This window comes from Homo sapiens, chromosome 5, assembly GCF_000001405.40.
Source record: "Homo sapiens chromosome 5, GRCh38.p14 Primary Assembly".
NCBI lineage: Eukaryota > Metazoa > Chordata > Mammalia > Primates > Hominidae > Homo > Homo sapiens.
Window position 1 is genome coordinate 122,544,751 of NC_000005.10, and position 24,184 is coordinate 122,568,934.

Below are 24,184 nucleotides of genomic sequence, written 5' to 3' on the forward strand. Positions count from 1 at the left end.
AGCCCAGATTGCACCACTGCACTCCAGCTTGGGTGACAGAGAAAGACCCCTCTCAAAAAGAAAAAAAAAAAAAAAAAAAATATATATATATATATATATATATATATATAAAAATAAAATAAAGACTTTAATTATAATCACCCTGGTTTAATATGTTTTCTAACATGAAAATGATATTCTGTGATTTTTCAATAAAAACACAAAGAAATTTAATGAAACCAATTTCCCTGGATTCCCTGCTCCCTCCTAAATGAGAAGTAACATACTCAGAACTCAGCACAATTTTTGGCACAAAGAAGTCCCATTAAAAAGTTCTGATGTTGAGACAAAAATACATTCTTAACATTGTTCTCATCACCTAAAAGCTTATGTGCTTCAAAGTCTATGTGCTTCAAAGTATGTGGCTAGAGGTTTTCTTTCCATTTTAAAATACTATCTCTTATTATCCTTATAAAAGCTATTTATCAACATACTCTTTTTCAGTATACAATGCTGCTGGGTTTTTTCCTTTAAAAAGTCTTTATCTTTCACTTGTATATTGAACAGGTCCTGAACTGTGTGAATAAAAATATTGCATGCAATTCTGAACCCTGACTTGAAAATAGGACACATCTTCAAAGACAGTAAGGAAAAGAAATATAGAGGTAAGAGTGGAGAAGAAGAAACCTGAATATAAATGGTATCTTTAGAAATGCAAAAAGAGCATTTTATACAAATAATTATTCGAATTTCTTTAGTCTCCTTTCAAACCAAGATTTGTTTACCAGAGGCATTACAATTTAGTGAGACAAATTAGACTAAACTTTTTTATCTCGGGTGGTTTGCACATGCACTGATTGAACTAGTATTTCTTCCAAAGATTGCCTGGGAAGATAAATGAACAGGAGGAGCAATTAGGGTAAGGAAAAACTAAAGATTGGCTGACATGATTTAAGTTTACCACTAAGGCAGTTTGTCATTTTGTCTCTATAATCTCCATCAGAATTGACTAAAAGAGTAAACATAAATCATTATACTAATTTATTTCACTACACTGTGGTCTGGGAAAAGAAAATTTCATTTTTTTCTGAGAGACTTTGGGGATTTAGGCAGCTGCTTTGAACTTATTTTCATTATATACTGGGAGGAAAAGAAACAAGAGAAAGATGAGTACCTCGGGTTCTTCAAAAACAATATTTTTGGTGGCAAGCCAACTAATTTTTATCACACTATGCTAAAATAACTATGGGTTGTGCATTAAAAGCAACTCAACATCGATTATATATTTTTTTAAAAAGCAAAACTTAATTCCTAAGATAGAGATGTAATCAAATCTACTGCTGAAAGTGATTTTTCACATAGTAGTTAGTAAGCTTTAAGTTTCTTCTCTGAAGAAACCTCAGTGACCACAGAGAGTCAGAATGCCATAAATTGTCCGGGAGTTCTTTATGGACTATCAACACCCTTGAAAATTAGGACTGCAACTATGCCCTCAGAATATAGAATGCGGCATTGCTGACTCACCAAAACAGCAGGACCATCAACATGCCCTTGGATATATGGCCCAACTGGCTACTTGAACAAAAAGGAGCCACTTATTAACCTGTGGAGGTCACACACACTCACAGACACACACACACACACACACACACACACACACCTATATTTCCAGCCATAATAAATATGAAATTAAATAATTATTAGAAGTATGATATCACAATTTTCTTTAGTCTTTCAAGGGATCTCAAAGCTATAAGTGATATACACAAATTTATCATGCAAAATGTTTTATTGATCATCCTCTCCTTGAAGCCTTTTGTATAAACAGCCAAGTGAGGTTTAAAATTTAAAACTTCTTGTACTAAGGTAAATTACAACATAGGATTGAAAGAGGTAAAAATGGATGACTATATATATGGCAGACTGTGTATGAGGCGCAATCTAAAGTGTCTTTGGGCTAGTTATTAACAGGCAACTGGAGGCAGGGTGCTACCAATAAGGTAGCAGCCAAGGTGGGTCTCAAAGAATGGGTATGGTTTCAACAGGTGCCAATAGCTCTTTCAAGGCAAAGGCAACAGTAAAAGTAAAGGCACAGAGAGTGAGAAGTTTGAGACACTTCCAGGAAGTGAAGGGGGCATTGACTATGCCAAGGCTCAAAGGATCTGTCACTCTTGGGAGTTACCAAGAGCATGAGGGTAAGATTGGTCGTGATTAGACAAGGATTCCTACCCTAGTTTAGCCAGTTAAAATTTACTTCTTATTCTTTTATATATTGGGGGAGGAGTTGTTCCCTTAATATTTAGCTTGGAAAAAGTAGGACCACTGCTTAAAAACAAAACACAGACACACACACACACACACGCACACACACGTACAAACACACATTTGCTAACCACTGAGTGAGATATTACAGAATATTAACTCTGAAAACTCTGCTGAACTTCACTTGTCAAAAGTCTTGAATATCAATCTAAAAAGCAGTTCTGAACTTTACTTAAGAGAGCATAGAGAGCAACTGAAGATTTTTAAATAAAGAAGTGATGGTTTCAAACTGTGCTTTAAGAACATTCATCTTGGCAACTGGGCTTGAAATTAACTTAGATAGATATCTGCTTCCAGTAGCCTTGGAAAAAGGTAATAAAGTTCTAAACGGGGATGCTAATTATAGAAAGTTTAATAGTAGATGAATGCAAGACACATGCGGGTATTGCATCAGGACCAAATTACACTTCAGAAAAATGCTGTCATAATTACTAGAAACACAACTTCAGATAAACACAAAAATTGAGGGGAAGATAATACATTTACTTTGGAACACTGAACTTAGACATTGTTAGAGTATCAGCAGAGAGTAAGAAGTAGTCCAGCTAAGAGTAACAAACACTGTGTAGAAATACAGTGTATGAACTATAAGGCTGGACTTTTTTGTGTTCATTGAATTGAATTTGTGTTACTGAATTATTGTGTTTATTTAAGTTCTACCTCTTCCTATAAGGAGAAAGAGAAAAAGAAATGAATATTGTGAGCTCCAATTCAGTGCCTACATCCTGCTGAACACTTTGCACATCGCATTTAATTGTAACAACCACCTACCAACTTATTATTGGCCACACTCTATAGTGAGAGCATTACGCAATGGCACAGGTAGGATCTGTCTGGATCCAAAACTGTTTCTAAGACAACTTGCTACCTCTGGAAAGATATGAAATCGTTGCATAGAAAGAAATTTTTTTAGGTCATCTATTAAAACAGTAAAAATGGAAGCAGATGAAGATGTTCAGGGGAAAAGTGTAGACAAAGAATTGCCAGAGGTCGGCTGGGTGAAGTGGCTCATGCCTGTAATCCCAGCACATTGGGAGCCAAGGTGAGTGGATTGATCACTCAAGGCCAGGAGTTCAAGACCAACACGGCCAGGATGGTAAAGCCATCTCTACTAAAAATACAAAAATTAGCTGGGCGTAGTGACACATGCCTGTAATCCCAGCTACTCAGGTGGCTGAGGCATGAGAATCGCTTGAACCTGGGAGGTGGAGGCTGCAGTGAGCTGAGATTGCACCACTGCACTCCAGCCTGGGTGACAGAGGGAGACTCTTGTCAAAAAAAAAAAAAAAAATCACCAAAGGTTAAGTAGAAAAAAACTTGGGGTAAGACATATTAAAATAGTGATGAGTCATAAGCAAGAAGGGATGGCCAACACCTTGATGTACTACAAAGAAGATAAGGAAGATGTAAACTAAAAATAACCATTGTATTTGGTCTATAAGGATTTATTAATGATTTTTGAGGGGAAAGTTTGCTTATAATAGTAAGAACAGAAGTCAGATTGTAAACAGCATGATGAGATGGGAAGAAAAGATTAGACTTACCTACTGGGTAATATTCTTCAAAAAGTTTAACACTAAAGAGAAATAAGGACCCATTATCATTTAAGAGAGTCGCAGTGTTAAGGAAAGGACTTTCTGTTTGTTTTCTCTTATCAAATGGAGGCCTTAGCATGTCTTCATTCAGAATAGAGAGCAGCAGAAAAGGAAAACTCAAAGATGGGGTGGGAGGAGTAATTGATAGAGCAAAATCCCGGAACAACAGGAAGAATTAGATTTAGAAGTAACTGAAGAGGGTCACCCTTACAAAGTAAAAGCTCTTCTTCCTCTGAAAATAAAAAATAATAATTTTTTTTAAAAAAGCAAGGACCTCTGAAGGTAGAGAATAATGATGACATAAAGAGCAGGAAAGCCATCAGGGCATTCAGAAGGAGCACTCTCTGACCTAGAAAAGCAGAGGGGAAGGTTTTACCTTAATGTAACCTCTCTGTTCCAAAGATGGGTAAACAAAGAGAAAAAAATAAGCAAAACCGCTAGATTCAAAAACAATATTAATAACTCCATGGATCAGAAACACAGCATTTAGCAGGACTGACATTGCAGGTCTGCTGATGGCCAAATTTAAAATCAAACAGAGATGGCTAAGAGTACAGCTTCTATGAGGTACCAGGAACTAAAAGTTTTCAATGTGATTAACACTTGGTTTACCCCCCTTGAAATCAGGGGTTATGATGGGGATCTCCTGAAGAGCCAAAGCGACTGAAATGTCCCTTTGGAGCTGCAATTATCAAGGTAGGATGACAAAGACCAAGTCCAAGAAACAGGAATTGCTGGATGAGTGGCAACATCTTTGATACTTTCAATGTTACCACAGAAAAGAAATCCTGAAATACTATGTATTTCTAAACTCCAAAGAGCCAGGAATAAGCAAACATAAATCTAATGAGTATAGGAAGGAATATTTAACAGGGAAAGACAGAGAGAGAGACCCCATTCAAAAGTAGACTGTAACAAAAGCAAAAATAGGCAAGCGGGACTATATCAAACTAAAAACTTCTGCTCTGCAAAAGAAACAATCAACAAACTGAAAGAAACTACAGAATTGGAGAAAATATTTTCAAACCATACATCTGAGAAGGCATTGATATATACAGAACTCAAACAATTCAATAACAAAAAAACAAATAACCGAATTTTTTAAATGAGCAAAGGACTTGAAAATATGTTTCTGCAAGGAAGACATACAAATGGACAACAGATATATGAATAGATGCTCAATATCACAAATCATCAGGGAAGTACAAATCAAAACCACAATGTGGTATCCTCTTACATCTGTTAAGATGACTATTATTCAAATGAAGTAAAATAAAAGAAAAAAGAAAACAAAGTAACAACTGCTGGCGAGGATGTGGAAAAATTGGAATCCTTGTACATTGTTGGTGGGAATGCAAAATGGAAAAGAGTATAGATGTTTCTCACAAAATTAAAAATGGAATTACCATATGATCCAGCAATCCCACTTTTGAATATTCATCCAAAAGAATTGAAACGAAGATCTTGAAGAGATACATGCATTCTTATGTTCATTGCAACATTATTCACAATAGACAAAATATGGAAACAACCTAAGTGTCAACAGATAAATGAACAAAGAAAATTTGGTATATACATACAATGGAATATTATTCAGCCGTAAAAAAGAAATGCTGCTATATAAGACAGCATGGATTAACCTTGAGAACATTATGCTAAGTGAAATAAGCCAATCACAGAAGTACATATACTGCATGATTCCACTTGTGTTTATAGATAACAATACCATACTGTATACTTTGAATTTTGTTAAGAAGGTAGATCTCAAAAAAACAAACAAAAAATAATATAAAAATTTAAAAATAAAAAAAAGAATAAAAAATAAGGTAGATCTCATGTTATTTGTTCTTACCACAAATTTTAAAAGTAGAATGCAATATTAGAATTGAACAATAATCAGGTACTACATATCAAAATCTGTGAGATGCAGCTAATATAGCACTCAGTTGTAAATTTATAGCCTTAAGTGCATTAATTAAAGAATATAGTTCTGGAAAAGGATGATTAATGGCAAAACTATCATTGTCAAATACATTTATTAACTTGCATAACACCTAAGAAAATAAATTGATAAAATTTAGAACCCACAGAGTTTATCAAGATGGCTAGATATAGTAACAGTATAAAAAAATCTTTCCTATAACTCAGTAATAATCCATTAGATAATTCGATGGAAAAAAATTACATTCACTGTGTCAACAACAGAAAATAAAATAGCTGATAGCAAACCTATAAAAACCTTAAAAAACCTAGTAAACTTCACTGAAGTCCTTAAAATAAGACCTAAAAAATGGAATAATAAACCATAATCCAGGGATATTATGTTAAGTGAAATAAGCCAGGCACAGAAAGACAAATACCACATGATTTCATTTATATATATAATCTAAAAATATTGAACTCAGCAATAGAGAGTAGAATTGTGGTTCCAGGGCTGGGAAGGTGGGAAAGTAGATTGGAATAATGTTGGTCAAAGGATATAAAATTTAAATTAGATAGGAAGAATAAGTTTCAGAGCTCTATTGTACAACATGGTGAAAAAACAGTAGTTAATAACAATGTATTGTATTTTGCGTGGTGGCATGCACCTGTAGTCCCAGCTACTAGGGAGGCTGAGGTGGGAGAATCACTTGAACCCAGGAGGCAGAGGTTGCAGTGAGCCAAGATTGCACCACTGCACTGCAGCCTGGGTAACAAAACGAGACTTCATCCCAAAAAAAAAAAAAAAATTATCGTATTTTGAAAAAGGCTGAGAGTAAAATTTTAAATGTTCTCACCACAAAATAAATGCAGATGTTAATTAGCTCAGTTGAGCCATTCCATAATGTGTACATATTTCAAAACATCACATGGTACACAATTTTTACTTGTCAACTAAAAATAAAGTAAAATAAAAACATGTTCCAGAATAGGAAGATTAAATATTGTAAAGGTATTAATGTCACTAAGGAACTGATCCTTAATCAACAAAGTAATCACATCAAAATATCAAAGCATTTGTAAAAGGAGAGAGAAAGAAAGAAAGAAAGAGAAAGAAAGAAAGAAAGAAGAGAAAGGAAGAAGAGAAAGAAAGAAAGAAAGAAACCAAACTATACCTCTTTAGCTACATATATACAGATATACAGGTACATTAAAAAATCATAAAGGTCATAAACTAAATGAGCAACAATAGCTACTTCTTGGAATCTGGATGGAGAGAGAGAGTGAAAGAGGGACATTAGATTTATCTGTAGTCTTTTATGTAAGTGAATGTATTTATATATTACTTATACAGTTAAAGATACATTTATTTTAATTTTTAAAATAATAAAATGTTGTCAACACTCCTGTGGTGGGCAGAATAATGACCCCCAAAACTGTGCATGTCCTAATCCCTGTAACCATGAATGTGACCTAACCTGGCAAAAGGGACTTTGTAGATGTGATTAAATTAAGGACATTGAAATGGATGATTACCCTGGATTTTCCAGCTGAGCTCAGTGTAATCACATGGACCTTTAAAAGTGAAAGAGGAAGGCAAGAGAGCCAGAGTCAAAAACATGAAGATGCTGAGATGCTGGGCTGCTGTCTTTGAAGATGGAGGAAGGGGCCACGAACCAAGAAACCAAGAGTTCTCTAGAAGTGGGGAAAGCCGAGGAAACAGATTCCACCCTAAAGCATCCCAAGGGAACAGCAACACTGCCTGCACGTTGATTTTAGTCAAGTGAGCCCCATTTTGGACCTCTGCCTTCCAGAATTGTAAAATAATAAAATTGTGTTGTTTTAAGCCACCAAACTTATGGTAATCTGTTGCAGCAGCAATAAAAAATGAACAGAACTCCTTCACTGCTCAGCACTTTTGAACTTCTAATTAACCAGGTTCACCATGACAGATTTTGTACTAAAAATGCTAATATCACCTGAGGATTTATTCCCAGTCTGTGAGGTTACTATAAGGTAGAAATGAAAAAATAATTATAAGCCCCAAATATTTTGAGTCAACCTGGGTTAAAATTGTGTGTACAACCATATTCCCAAGCCACCCCAGTATTTAATGAACAACCATGAGAGACCTAAATACTTTATGCCAAAACACTGGGCTAGTTATTAACTATTTTGTAAATATAAGATCAAAGATTGGTGATCATTTAAAAGCACAAAGATTAAAGAATGTTAGCCACATGAGAAGATTATGTTTCTGGTTAGATCTAAACATATTTTATATTTTATCACCAAATGAACCTCAAATTTGGTCTTCAATTAACTTGTTTGCTGAGAAAGGTGACAAGCTCTCTTGTATTTTCTGCCTTTTCTTTAAAAAAAAAGAGTTAATCTCCTATGAAAACTATCCTTAAACTCAGACCTTATTTTATCCTGTGAGGCAAGAAATTGTATTTATGTACAATTTGATTTGTAGAAAATTGTATTTGTTTTAACATGCTTCTAACAGGCAGCTGAGTTTAGTTATCTGATCTATAATAGACCCATTAGCCACCATGATTATTATTTCACTAATTATTAATAATTTTATTCTATAAATCCACTAGTATAATCAGGCATACCTTGTTTTATTGTGCTTCACTTTATTGTCTGTTGCAGATAAAGTGTTTTTTTTTTTTTTACAAACTGAAGGTCTGTGACAACTAATCTCTGCATGAAGCAAGGCTTCAGCACAATTTTTCCAATGCCATGTGCTCACTTTGTGTCTTTGTTTAATAATTTTGATAATTCTCACAGTATTTCAAACTTTTTCATTATTATATATGTGTTATAGTGATCTCTTATCAATGATTTTTTTTTTTTTTTTTTGAGACAGAGTCTTGCTCTGTCACCCAGGCTGGAGTGCAGTGGTGCCATCTTAGTTCACTGCAACCTCCGCCTTCTGGGTTCAAGCGATTCTCATGCCTCAGCCTCCCAAGTAGCTGGGATTACAGGCATGCACCATCATGCCTGGCTAATTTTTGTATTTTTTGTAGAGATGGGGTTTCACCATGTTGGCCAGGCTGGTCTCGAACTCTTGACTTCAAGTGATCCGCCTGCCTCAGCCTCCTAAGGTGGTAGGATTACAGGTGTGAGCCACTGCACCCAGCCTCTTATCAATGATTTTTGATGTTGCTATTGTAATTGTTTTGGGGCACCACAAACTGTGCCATTTAAGACTGTGAATGGAGGGATGTGTTGTGTGCTCTGACTGCTCCACTGACCAGCTGTTCTCCCATACCTGTTCCTCTCCTCAGGCCTCCCTATTCCCTGACATACAACAATATTGAAATTAGGCCAATTAATAACCCTACAATGACCTCTAAATGCTCAAGTGAAAGGAAGAGAAGCACACACATGCTCTTACTTTAAATCAAAAGCTAGAAATGATTAAGCTTGGTTAGAGGCATGTCAAACCCCCAGATAGGCTGAAAACTAGGCCTCTTGCACTAGTCAACTTGTGACTACAAAGGAAAAGTTATTGAAGAAAGTTTAAAGTACCATTCCAGTGAACACATGAATGATAAGAAGGCAAAACAGCCTTATTGCCGATATGGAGAAAATTTTAGCGGTTTGTATAAAAGATGAAACAAGGCACAACATTCCCTTAAGCCAAAGCCTAATCCAGAGCAAGGCCCTAACTCTCTTCAATTCTTTGAAGGCTGAAAGAGGTGAAGAAGTGGAGGAAAATTGGAAGCTGGCAGAAGTTGGTTTATTATGTTTAAGGAAAGAAGCTGTTTCCATAACCTAAAAGTAAAAGGTGAAGCAGCAAGTGCTGACTGAGGTAGAAGTTGCAGCAAGTTATTCAAAAGATCCAGCTAAGATCATGGATGAAGGCAGCTACATGAAAGAACAGATTTTCAATGTAGATAAAATAGCCTTCAGTTCAAAGAAGACACTATCTAGAACTTTCATAACCAGAGAGAAGGAGTCAACACCTGGCTTCAAAAGCTTAAAAGAACATGCTGACTCTCTTGTTAGGGGCTAATGTAGCTAGTGACTTTAAGTTGAAACCAATGCTCATTTACCATTCTGAAAATCCTAGGACCCTTAAAAATTATGCTAAATCTACTCTGCCTGTGTTCTATCAGTGAAATAACAAAGCCTAGAGGGCAGCATATCTGTTTACAGCATGGTTCATGGAATATTTTTAAGCCCACTATTGAGACCTACTACTCAGCAAAAAAGATTCCTTTTAAAGTATTACTGCTCATCGACAATGCACCTGGTCACCCAAGAGCTCTAATGGAGATTTACAAGGAGATTAATGTTTTCATGCCTGCTAGCACATCAGTGCTGTGGCCTATGGATCAAGGAGTAATTACCACTTTCAAGTCTTATTATTTAAGAAATACATTCTGTAAGGCTATAGCTGCCACAGATAGTGATTTTTCTGATGAATCTGGGCAAAGTAAATTGAAAACCTTCTGGAAAGAATTCACCATCCTAGGTGCCATTAAGAACATGCATGATTCATGGGAGGAGGTCATAATATCAGTATTAACAAGAGTTTGGAAGAAGTTGGTTCCAACCCTCATGGATGACTTTGAGAGGTTCAAGACTTCAGTAGAGGAAGTTACCGCAGATGTAGTAGAAATAGTAAAAGAACTCTAATTAGAAGTGGAGCCTGAACATGTGACTGAATTGCTGCAATCTCATACTAAAACTTTAACAGATGAGGAGTTGCTTCTTATGGATGGGCAAAGAAAGTGGTTTCTTGAGATTGAATCTACTCCTGGTGACCTGGTGAAGATACTGTGAACAGTGCTGAAATGACAACAAAGGATTCAGAAAATTACATAAACTTAGTTGATAAAGCAGCAGCAGGGTTTGAAAGGATTGACTCCAATTTTGAAAGAAGTTCTACTATGGGTAAAATGCTATCAAACAGCATTGCATACTACAGAGAAATCTTTCACAAAAGAGTCAGTCTATGCAGCAAACTTCACTGTTGTTTTATTTTAAGAAATTGCCAGAGCCACCCCAATCTTTAGCAACCACCACCCTGATCAGTCCACAGCCATCCACATCAAAGAAGACATTCCATCAGCAAAAATATTACAACTCATTGAAGGCCCAGATGATTGTAAGTATTTTTTAGAAATAAAAGTATTTTTAAATTAAAGTATATACATTTTTAGACATAATGTTATTGCACACTTAATAGGCTATAGCAAAGTGTGAACATAATGTTTATATGCACTAGGAAACCAAAAAGTTTGTGTGACTTACTTTATTGTAGTGGTCTGGAACTGAACCTGCAATATTTCCAAGGTATGCCTGTAAGTGGGACAAATTCATTTTGTCTTTATCTTTTTATTACAGTCCCTTAAAAAACCACACAAAATCTTGTGATTCAGATAAACTCATTTTTGAAACATAGCACAAAACCTGTTTCTTTAACAATACTCAGCACCTTATTTCCACGTAAATATTGAAAACCTACTGTGTAGCTCTGTGAAATGAAAACCAGGACAACTCTCACCTGGGATAGGAATAACTAAAGCCAGAAGCAAATGTATCATCAACATTTCATTAGGCTGAAGAGAAAAGGGTTTTCTTTTCTTTCGGTTTAAGAGACAGAATCTTGCTCTGTCACCCATGCTGGAGTGCAGTTACTATTCATAGGTGTGATCACAGTGCACTGCAGCCTCAAACTCCTGTGCTCAAACCATCTTCCCACCTCAGCCTCCCAAGTGCCTGGGACTGCAGGTGCATGCCACCATACCTGGCTATTTTCTTTACTATTGTTTGTTTAAAATTTGAGAAATTTTAAAAAATTAGTTTTCTTATTGCTCTGCATTTATTTACCATCTGTAGCTCTTGAATATGCTTGTTAAAAATACGCCAGATGAGTTTGATAAATGAAGCACACGTTTGGCTAAATACCATTTTTCAATCTTATCTTTATGGTAAATAATGAACAAATACCTAATAAATGCTAGAATCAAAACTATAAAATTATATTCAGAAAAAAATTAGAATCAAAAGATTGACTTTAATTTTAATGAAAGATGATCATTTAGAAAATTATAAATTCATATATTATAATTTTTATAGCTATACAACTCACACACAGACAATACCTACACACACACACTCACACACACACACACACACACACACACGTGCTATTTTTCCCTTCTTTTTTCTAAGTCTCATTTTCCTTGATGGGTCTCAGCCTTTCTTCATTTTCCTAGAAGGTCTACTTTTCATTCCCTAAAGAAGGAAGCCCTACAAAGCAAGGGAAGCTGGGACACTTGAGATTCCTATGAGTTGGAAATAGAAGACTTGGTTGGGAAAGCTGATTTCGTGCTGAATTAATAGTGTCAGAATGCCCTACAAATTGTTGTATGGAGGTGTTGGCCCCACATCATCAGCCATAAGATGACTTTCTTTGTTGTGAACTGTAATGCATCAATCTCTCTGTAACCCCTCATGAGCCTGAACATGACTACCAAGAGTTTGAGTAACCAGCACAATAACCAAGATGTGGAACTGTAGTTTCAATTCTGTCCCTGTCCCAGGGTGTAATTAGATCACCAATACTTACTGACCAAGTCACACTTATTCCTATCTAATTAATCTTCCTATACCTAAGACCAACACAGGTTAGAGATCTGAGTCTGTTGATCAAAGACATAGTCGATCCATATTCTAGGCCTAATTTCTATAGCATGGAAGTTTCTTATTCCATCAGCAAGGCAGGTGCTGCAAATGCAGAACAATATAAACACAGTGACTCTTCACTTAGAGAAACATTAGTCCTAGGATGTGGTACATAAATTACAGACCAATGTAAGCTTTTGGATTTTTGAGTTCCAAATGATTTTGAATGAGACTCTGAAACAGATAATAATTTCATGGGTTTCTGAGTCTTAATTTTCACAATATCTACTATATTCATCCGTTTTCATGCTGCTGATAAAGACATACCCGAGACTGGCCAATTTACAATAGAAAGAGTTTTACTGGACTTACAGTTCCATGTGGCTGGGGAAGCCTCACAACCTTGGAAGGTGAAAGGCATGTCTCACAGGGTGGCAGACAAGAGAAGAGAGCTTGTGCAGGGAAACTCCCCCTTGAAATAGCCATCAGGTCTTGTGAGACTCATTCACTGTTACAAGAACAATGCAGGAAAGACCCACCTCCATAATTCAATCACCTCCCACCAGATTCTGCTCACAACACACGGGAATTGTGGGAATCACAATTCAAGATGAGATTTGGGTGGGGACACAGAGCCAGACCATATCATCTACCCAGATGCAATAAGGGTGCTTGCAAATCCTGATATAAATAAATCCTGTATGTTTTAAGAAGAAATTTCAGGTATTAGCTAATAATGGATGGAAGTTCACTCTATCACCATGCCAAAAATGCTAAATATTGTCATGAACTGAAACTTAACAAACTATGTGAAACCCTTATATATGGCCAATTTTTAGTCACTGTCACCAACTAATCTCTCCACTTTACTCTGAATCTTAAAATTTCTGGAACTAATTCTCACTAATTAATTTCTTGTTTTGGCTTAACAAAATTGTTACCAAGGACTTCCTCTTCAGTTCTATTCTCTAGGTCTGTGCTGTGCTTTCTTCTTTATACAATAAACATCTTCCTCTGAGCTAAGCCTGTAAATTTTAATTATATTTGTCTTATTCTTATCTTACCAACCCTGTGGCTATATACAAATTTCTAAATTGGCCAGTAAAACAATACATCTTAATTAATCTTTTGGAAGTTACAAACACTTGCAAGAATCTGATGGAAGCCAAGAAACCTAGTCCTAGGAAACACACACACAGACACACACACACACACACACACACGCACACACTCACTTCTGTACTTACTACAGTCATATAACAAAACAGTTCAGAGCTTAGGTTTGGAGGTTCAGATTTCAAGCTGTGTCCCTTACAAGCTTTAATATCCTCATTTGCTAAATCAGGGTATTAAATTTATAGAAAACTCTTTGGGCCTATGAGTTGGTTACATTTTTTAAAAGTAAAAGTGTTTGCATTTTGCCCCCAATAAGAGTATGTTGTGGAGTAAAAAGAAAAAAAAAATCCTCATAAATAAGACCTAATCCTAGAGTGAAAAAAAAGAGGTATTTTTACTTGTAAGCTGGTTGTGTTTACTAAGTAATTTCTTCATGATCTTTCTACAATTCCAGTATAATTTATTCTGTACAATTCTAGCCAAAATTTTAGAAACATCTATCAATCTAGTTTCTAGACACTGATTATCTCTAATGAGGGAAGAAATTATCAAATGCTTAATTGAACGCAATCCCTGAACATTATGAAGATTGTCATCCATCCTTGGCTGGAAAAGTTAGCAATTATGTCATCTATGTGACATTAGTAAGTTTTGAAAATGTGTTTATGCTGTAGAGTTTTCTTTGACTTGCTGCGGGACTTCCCTTGTGTGCTCTGTCTGTATATGCAATATACAGCTATAAAACTCCATATTTTAAAGTTTGGATAAATGTTAATTTTTGGTAATTATCTTTTCAAACATAGTTTAGATCACAGTAAAATAAGTATGGTTCCAAGAACTCACTAAAACATTTCCAAGTCACAGTCAATGGCTGAGTTGAAGTGATTTCATTATTAAAATTTTTAATCTGTACCTAAATAGTATTTTTTATGGCAGTGATTTTCAATTATTTTTAACTCAACACAGCTGAGGGGTATGCTACATGCTCAAAATCACAACAATTGTCATCTGGCTAGAAGATAACAGAGAACAGAAGGGATATCGTGGTTGAGAATCACTACTCTGTAGCAAAATTATACTTCCCTGTGGTCTGTATGTTTTAAGAAGAAACTTCAAGTATTAGCTAATAATGGATGGAAGTTCACTCTATCACCATGCCAAAAAAACTGAGTCAGAATATTTCTTCAATTAGGATTGAAAAGTAATATATATGTCAGAGAAAAAAAGTTTCCTTTAAAAAAACTGTGGTTTGCATATTAGAAAGCTTAGTTGATTGTACTTAACCTAAGAATACACTATATCTTTATAATTATTATTAAGTGATTTTTTGGTGTCAGTACATAGGGCTCTACAGTTTCCAAGGAGGGCACACCTTACAGAGTTTGGAAGTTAGCCTAAGAAATAAACACTCTGAATTGAAATAAAGATTAACTCATACATATATAGAAGTGCCATTCCTGGGAAATAATATGTAGATCTTTGGTGGAAAAATTAGGTTGTCTTCCAATACAATGTAATCTCTGAAACCAGGATATGACTTAATTACCCAGTTATTTGGTAACATGTCAGGCAGGAGGAGATGATGAATGGGAACTGGAGAAGAAAAATTGATCAGTTTCTCTTTCCATCCCAGCTACCAGAAAGCTCAGACTCAAATTTATGACCAACCTCTGTCAAACAGACAGGATCTCACAGACCTGTATTTTCTATGCAGACATGAAATTATTTTCCCCTTTTTTCTTCTTGGATCCCATTTTTGAATTTAAATTTTTAAATATCTCATCATAGTTTATTGTATGTATTATTACATATAATTTTAAATCACTCATTAAAATTACACACATCTTTACTGATCTAGCACCATACAGGGGAAAAGAGTTTCTGAAGAGCAAACGTGAGTACTTCTGTGAGGTGAATTTCCAAGTACCTGATGTAATTTACATCCATAGAGGAACTGAACACTCCACACTCTCAAAACTTTATTCTAACAGTATTAAGATCATATAACTACCTACCTGCAGTCTATATTTCTAAGCAGCCTTTTGGCATTGATTCACATTTCTCAACAGGAGAGATTGTGTTGACCAATAGACATGAGCATTCTGGCACGACTGGCCTAATTTTATTTATAAATTACAAAGTTGGCACTCTAGTCCGCTAATTAGTCTCTTCTGAGTTTGATTTGTTTGAGTCTACTGTCTAAACCTTTCTGATTTAGCAATTCGATAGAATTTCATTGCTGATCCTGATGAACAGCCCTGGAAGCTTTATGCTGCACCCAAAGCCCTGCACCATGTGGGGCTCCAGGAGCAGCCAGAAAACAACCTTGGGTCCCACTCCATTTGAAGGAAAAAAAAATTTCCTGATGCCTTTTGCATTCACTATTAGTACATTTTATCACACTATTACAACTGAATGTTTCTTAGTACCAAATCTACTGCTATGGTGAGGGAAATGATAAGACTTTCTCCAGATACCAAAAATACAAGGTGGGCATGTATAGGCCTGAGATATTAAAATGTAGCACAATCTCTAGCATTTTTATTTCTTTGCAAAAACCATACGTATTTTAGGGTGTTCTTAAATAATTGACCAGATGCCTTTGGGTAGCAGGTTTGTTTATTATCCCTTTAACTAACAATCACTTATTGAGCATCTACGGTGTGTTAAATGCTGTACTGGGTGTTAGATCCTGCCTTATGGAATAAAGTCTAGTGAGGGACACAGGTATTTTTAAAGTATATAAGTAAATGTTTTCTTATACATTGTGATAATAGACATGAGAACCAATACTTGGATGCTAAAGTAGAAAAAAATAACCAGGGAAGTACCAGTGATAGACTGCAGAGCCAGAGCACATCCCACACCCCCAACAAAAGATGCCTTCTAACTAGAGGAACATATGTGCTTGTTTGGTTGGGACAGTCCCAGTTAATGCCAGTTGTTCCAGCATAATTATTAATAGATGCTCCTTTCCCACGAAACATATCCTGATTAAAATAATAAATTATGTGGTCATGCTAATTTTAAACAAAGTGGAAACTCAGTAAAGTGCTAGGTCCTAGAAGGGATAATGACTTCTAAGTACTTTGGAAAGCATCCTGAGGTGAAGATAAGCATTAGTAGTGTAATGGGCTGAGATTAACTTCATTCCTGGCTTGATTCCAGGGGAAAAAAAATCACAGCTTCAAACATAATGTATTTAAGGGAACGGAATCGATACTGAGTAAAGAAAAAGGAAGGGAACCTCAGTAAATAAAACTTGAATCATTTTCCTCATTGTGAAGACAGAATTAGCAGAAAATGAAAATTCCAGTTCTTCAGCACCATGGAAGCCTAGAAACTTTTTTTAATATGAAAGCAGATAGCAGAATGTAGTCATAAAACATGTAAACTGAAGGAACCTTGGAAATCCCCTCATACAGATCTCCCTTCTTAGAGGAAATATAATGCCAGAGGACATAAAAGTGAACCATATACTTGGAGGTGAGAACCGCTGTATTATATAAACATTAATTGCAAAAAGCAGTGGATTTGGACTCAGGCCACCCATGTTATAGTGCCAGTTCCTTAAGAACCTCTTATTTTTCCCAAACCTTGGTTTCCTCAAATAGAATCCTGGAATCAAAATACCTTTCTCACTATCTCCGAGGGTTGTTTTGAAGACAAAATAAAATCATATAAGCTATAAAGGGCTTTGCCAATTTAGTTTTTGTTAGCAACACATTCATTAGCCTAGCCCATGTTCTAAGCAAAAAAGAGTCTACATCTATCATGAAGTTGTGATAAGAAGTTTCCATGCCCTTTACAACTGAATAAAGGGGATTCTGATTTGAGTTTTGTAGCTCTCACATTTCTTCTTTCTCATGCCTCAAAATTCACCAAATCAAATACAAGTAAAAGATGGTGATTAGGCAACTGACAAGAATCAGGGCTATAGACATTCTCTGGGTTTGGCTGAGGAGGCCATATCTAGAAAAGATAATATGCATGGTTACATTAATGTCTATCCTTTTAGGATTGAATTACCACAAACCTAAACAGGTTCAGCAATTGAAAGCATTGAAAAAAATTCCAAATGAGGAAGCAAAAGCTGAACATGAAATCTGAGCTTCTAAAGTGAGCACAGTTGTGCAGAAGCGAAGTTCAGGGCTGCGAATAGCATTACTGAAATGGCAAGAAATGGAGTCTTAAAAAGTCCTCCCACGCAGATGGGCCAGTGTTTTATTCAACTGGACAAAAGATTCTTAAGTAAATACAAGCAATCTGGTAAAACTTTTATAAGGAGTTAAGTGAATCTGTCAACGTATTGAGTGAATCAGTGTAAATAGGCCGAAGAAACAACAATGTGTAAGGACAAACATAGTAGAAGTTTCTTTCTTGCTCATGGAAGAAGGTACGGAGGTTCTCCTGGTTGGTGGAGGTTTTCCTGCACGCGGTGATTCTGCCTTCTTCTAGGGACTTACCATTGGTCTCCTCCTGCTTTTCATCCAGTGAGAAGAGAGAAAGACTGGAAGAGGATAGGTTCTTCTTAAGCCATGACCCGGAAACAGGACAGCATGCACTCCAACGTGGCTGGCTGGAACTCAAACTCAGCCACACCCAACTCCAAACAAATCTGGGAAAGAGGTTCTAGCTGAGAAGAAAAGAAAGCATGAATTCTAATTAACAGCTTGCATTCTCTGCTACAGGTAAGATTTCTAGTTATATAAATTCTACACCAGGACCAGCAGCAGAGTAGAAGTCTGACAGAAGGGAAAAGGGCTAGGCATTGGCCCACCTGCCATTTGCAGGAAACCTGCCCTGCCTGATGCTCAACAATGTCCCCAGTTTCTCACAAAGCTGACAAAGTACAAACAAGGGACCAAGAATTACTTCTCAGTGGCCAATCCCTTATGTCTAATGCTTCTAATTAGTGAAAGGGATCAGTTGAAGGCATACTGGCATTGTGATAGCGTTAGAGAAAAATCTTTGGCCAGAATATGACAGATCCATTCCCTGTAACCTATAAGGTACCCTGGAAGCCATTGGCTTCCTAGAATTTTCCATTTGAAAACCCTTATACACCTTGGCAGTGATTTGCAATGAGCAAGATTTTCAACCACAGAGAGTTTTAAGAACTCTAGACATTGGGGCCTTTGGGCCCAAAACCAATGTAAGTTGTACTCCTACTTTTTTCATCATTCTGTAAGGTGATTCCTGACTTAGCCGCAAACTACTTTGAAAGTAGAGAAACCATTGGGAAAGGAGAAAGTAAGGCTTGGCTGCTGGGCTTGGTGTTTAACTGAAAGGCAATACTTCAGGAAATTGTGAAACCACCCGTCGTTAAGTAGATGGTGTGAAGATGGAGAATATTATCTAAAAATACTATACTGAAAGAAAAAGTCACTCTTCAGCTACTGTTTGTGTCTCCAATTGTTTGTGTGCCTATTTCTCTTTTTCTCAAAATGAGGGAGAAACTGGATCCGTAGATTTAATCTTTCCTTAGCTGAATAATAACAGATTTATCATTTCAATCAAATTATATTTTTAATGCAAGGGTCATGGTATTTTCAAGAGCATTTTTATGCAAGGAATATAATGATATACCATGGATTTCAAGCAGAACCAGAGGGGAAGGGAAGTCTGAAAGGGTTTTAGGATAGCAGGAATATGGCAGGAGGGGAGAGGGATGTCAACAGGCTGGCTGTTTTTGTTGGCGTCCCACAGGAGGGACCAGACCCAGAAATAGACCTCAAACATCAGAAAAATTTCTGATAAAGCTGGATTGGGAAACGAGGCTTGGATCTACAGCCACAGTGAGGTTGCTTCAAACTCTGCACACTGATTTGGACTGACTCGCCCAACCACCTGCAAAGTAGGCTGATCTGAGAGGGGGTTCCCAAGAGCACCCTGGAAGGAGTTAGAAGAGAGGAGAAAAGGGGGTATGGATTGATGGAGAAGAAGAGCGAGGATGAGACGGGTTGAGAGTTTGGGAAATGACAAATGACATGAGAGGCTTGCAGTCAGCAGTGGGAACAAGGATCAGAGGCAGAATAGATTAGGTCCTCATGCTGTAGGGGACTTTCTCAGGCCTGAGAGTATCCAGCTAGGGGCAAGAGGGAGGCACATTAACCCAAGCTGGTTTTAAGTGCCACAGTGAAAAGGTTAATTAGTTAACAGTGGGGAGCAATTAATCAGGAGCTATGTGATTCTCACCAGAGGGAGGACGTGGAATCTGCAGCAGCTTCTGGCCAGGCTGGGTTGCATTTCTCCATGGTTAGCAGAACCATCCTTCACAGTCTCAGAATGCGGGAACACTGAAACATGAAAATCCCTGCCTCCTCCAGCTGTGGAGATTGTCTGTAGCTATCTCTCAGTATGAATTTGCCTTCAAATTCATTCTTCAAAATATTTGAGGCTGTCGATATATATAAAATGGAGTTAGGTTGACTCATACAAAATTGCCAGTTTTGAAGTTAAAAATCTGTTAAAATTGGCATTTCATATGACTCAGTATTGAAGTAAAGAATAGGTTCCTTGGGCACTTTGCATTTTCATAGTTTCACAGTAAATATTTCATGTTTGGGGAACCGCCGCGTGCTCCTAAAGGCCCTAGGGGTCAGTCTGTCCTCAGAGGATCCAAGGATAACCCTGACATAATGGTCACTGAAGTCCTCAATAATTCTGCTACCATGAGTGACAGAACACTTTCCTGGTGTGACTAGTTCAGTGACCTAGTCATATTTTTAAACCCTTAAATAAAAACTCAAACTCCATTTCCTCACTCTTAATAAGTGACTTTGCCAACTACATCTCAGAAAATAGAAGCTATTAAGTAAGAATGTATTCAAACTCCCACCCAGACACTATATGCTTGCCTGCAGCTGAATTCAGACAGATTATCCGGATGTCTTCAGGCACATTGGTGTAGAATGAACTTGGAAACATTCATTCTGATTATATTATATTGAGCCACCATACAAATGTACAGCAACTCACAGCTATATAATTGTTCGTTTCTGTACCAGAGATCGACATCACCAACCCATCCTCCACCAAGGGGATGTTACCAAAATGCAAATCTGAATGTGTCAGTTTTGTAATTTAAAGATGTCAAGCCCGTTAGCTCGGGTCAGGAATCCTGCTGCTTGAAGATCACGCTGTTCCCTCTTTCTCCAGTTTCACCCCAACATGCAACCTTTCCTTCACGTGCTCAATTACTCGGCTTCCTGGAATGCATCGTGCATTTCTTGCTTCTAGGTTTTCCACATGCTGATTCTTCAGATTGTAAGTTTTCTTCCTGTCAAGACTTTACTGGGTTTAAACTTTATCTCCTCAAAGAAATATTTGAGTAAGATGCCCCGTCTCGCTGCTGCCATATCTTCTTACACATACCTTGATCCTTGCTTTTATCCCACAATGTATTTAGTCTTGCTTTGCTAACCTGTCTCACTTGTGGGGCATTATAAGAGGTGACCACAATAAACTTCTGAGCAGGAACTACGTGAAATAACATGTACTCAAAATATGAGTTGAATGAAGAATGAATTTACAATCATAAATTAACAATTTAGCTTCTTAGATCCTAACAATGTAAGAGAATTTTTAAATAGCAATACATTCATGTACTGAGAAATTTCACAATTTAACTTAATATTTTGCTGTTTTTGTGTGTTGATATAATCTTTCTAAATAGCTGCGATAATAGCTAGCAATTACCAAGTACCTACTATGAGCCAGGAATCATGCTAACTGCTTATATACATCTAGTTTTATCCTTAAAACTACATTTGGAGTTCTCATTTTAAAAATGAGAAAAAAGAGAAGGTTTTCTTCGATTGATTTGTCTGATAAATATGGATTTTACAAATCCAGTGTTTTCTCAATAGTTTTCACCTGAATTCCAACTGAAGAACTAAAATTTAATATATGAAACATATCACATCTTTGAATAAACATATAAATATCCTGACCATCTATCAGAAGTTCAAGACCAGCCTGGCCAACATGGTGAAACCCCATCTCTACTAAAAATACAAAAATTAGCCAGGCATGGTGGGACGTGCCTGTAGTTCCAGCTACTAAGGAGGCTGAGGCAAAAGAATTGCTTGAACCTGGGAAGCGGAGGTTGCAGTGAGCCAAGATCACGCCACTGCGCTCCAGCCTGGGAGACAGAGCGAGACTCTGTCTCAAATAAATAAATAAATAAATATCCTGACCATCGAGTAATTCAAAAAGTAAAGTAACTTCTGTCTACTTTTTCTGCTCTAACTCCTGCTTCTGTTTTCTCCAATAACTGTCTGGTGACAAATCTCCTAATTCTAGTCCCTCTTTGGATCTTCTTTTTCCTTCAGCTTAAGTTTCTCAGTGCTTAGAAGCACTGATCAGGAATTGGATCCATGGTGCTACCCAGATCCCTCAGAAGGCATATCCCTGCCTGGTGGATTTTCGATTGGAATAAAATAAGATGACATGAATGTACAGAGACGATGGATGGCTTGAGCTGATGGGCAGCATTTGGAATTGGGTTTTGTTTTCTTCAAGAACTGTGGTGTCATTTTTCTTCGTCTTTCCCTGTCTCTGCTGATTCTGTCTAGGGGATGTCTTTTAATGTGAAAAATTGAGTAATAGCTTCATAAGAAGTCCTGAGAAAACAACTCCTGGATTCCAACTTATCTTCAGTGCACATAACCTTCTCCCACAGAGTGAAGGGCTTATTTTTATTCAATTAAGCCTCAATTATGTTCCAAGAAATCAGTCTCCAGACTAAATGTGAGCAAGTAGCAGGTAATAAACAAACAAGACACATCATGCTTTTGCCTTGGGCTTCTTTGAATCACTTATGTCTGCTTTAAAGAGTTTTGGTGAGGTAAGTTTTAAATTTTCAGAATGTTCACTTAAGCTATAAATCAGAGGCTTCCAGTATCTTTTTGCTAGGACTGGAAATGAGACATGAGTGAGGTTATGGCGTGCACACACATACCATCCAAGGGCTAAAGGAAACTAAGACCAACAAAAATAATTCTTAAAACCCAATAAAATTCACATGTTAAAATAATTATTTTGCAGACATTAAATGGTAGTATGCATAAAGTAAAATTACAAAATAAACACTAAAACACCAAGCTCCTTCTCACTCTCTTGCCACCACACTTCTTTTCTGACACAGTGACCAAGGCATAATCTCCAAGTATCTTCATTCAAATGGGGCTAGCTGGTGCAACCTGGCTGGTCATCAGAGTTATGTATGGAACTATATAAATATTAGTATTCATCCATACAGATTCTGATCTTTGTCTAGAAAAATATATACTTGTGAAAATCTTCACATATAAGTCACCTCGTCAGCAAAATACAGAAAAAAATCCTGCAGCGAGTCCTCCCTTCCACTGACCCCTACTCTCTGCATCAAAAAAGGCAAGAAGGTAGAACCCATGCTGCAGGTTGGGGAAACCTGTTTTATTCAATTCACTATCCAAAGTGAGCACTGGAAAGTCAGAGGATTACTGTGAATCCTCAGTGTTCTCTAACTTCTTGCTCCTCAAAAGAGCCCTGGCATCCCCAGCATCACTGGTAGCTTGTTAGGAATAGAAAATCTTGGGCCCTACCTGCTACTGAATCAGAATCTGCATTTTAACAAGATTCCCACAATATTTGTATGCACATTAAAATCTGAAGGGCTCTGCCCTATCTCACCATTTTTGACAGCCTCCAATTTTATGTTGACAAGTGAATCCTAGCCATGTTCCTCTGGGCTAGATAGTTTTGGCCTAAAAATCTGTCGATCAAGTCCTACCCAATTCTTCCACCAGAGAAAGAGTGAAGGCTTGGCCCTAAAGCTGAGCTGTTGGGTCCTGCTGCCTGCCTGCAAAAATCTTTAATGCCAACATGGGCCTGCTCCAAATTTTGTCTCTAACGAGATAATTTCTAGTTGGGTTTTGCTGGCCTTGCAGCAGGAACATGCTATTATATTTGCGGAAGATTTCCGAGAACAGCAATTTCTCTAAAATTCTCTTAGCTGTTCTCTCCTTTATGAAATGGGAGACATGATTTCAAGTCATTCAGGAAAAGCATGAAAACTGTTAACAACTTTGTTATTGTGCTTCACAGTTTATAGTCCAATTTTAACCAATAGCCAGTCTATCCATAGCGATAAGATGCGGAGAAGCATAGTACCAAAAATTATTAATGTTGACACTAAATCAAAATTCCAAATGAGTAACATGTTTGATTTATAAGCAGGTTTCTATGAGAAATTACTCAAATAATATGATCTAATAATCTATGGAGGAGTGAAGTACAGGTCCTTGAAATACTTGGAATACTGGCAGAGAGGGTAAATATAAAGAAATTAAAACTTGGCATGTTCAAAATTGTCAGTTGTATGTTTCTGTGATTACATGGTCAGCTCAGTTCCAAGTTTAACAAAAAGTATTATCTGCCTGTCAATCAAATGTTAATTAAGAATTCACTATGTTCTGGGTGCTAGAGCCATGGGAAATGACCATTTTTCATTCAGTGTTTGCCGAAAACCTCCTATGTGCTAGATATTATATACTCAAGATATAAAGAAGGGGAAGACATTGTCTGTGCCATCAAAGAGTTTACAACCTGCAAGAGCA

General features: G+C 36.8%; 1 long non-coding RNA gene across 1 annotated transcript; it reads left to right on the forward strand.

Annotated features, from left to right (window-relative positions):
* Positions 1 to 549: 549 nt before the first annotated feature.
* LOC105379151 (uncharacterized) lies at positions 550 to 22,373 on the forward strand. The gene is made up of 3 exons (XR_948719.3): positions 550 to 644; positions 18,075 to 18,271; positions 21,917 to 22,373. It is a non-coding gene; the product is annotated as an uncharacterized LOC105379151 (long non-coding RNA).
* Positions 22,374 to 24,184: the final 1,811 nt, after the last annotated feature.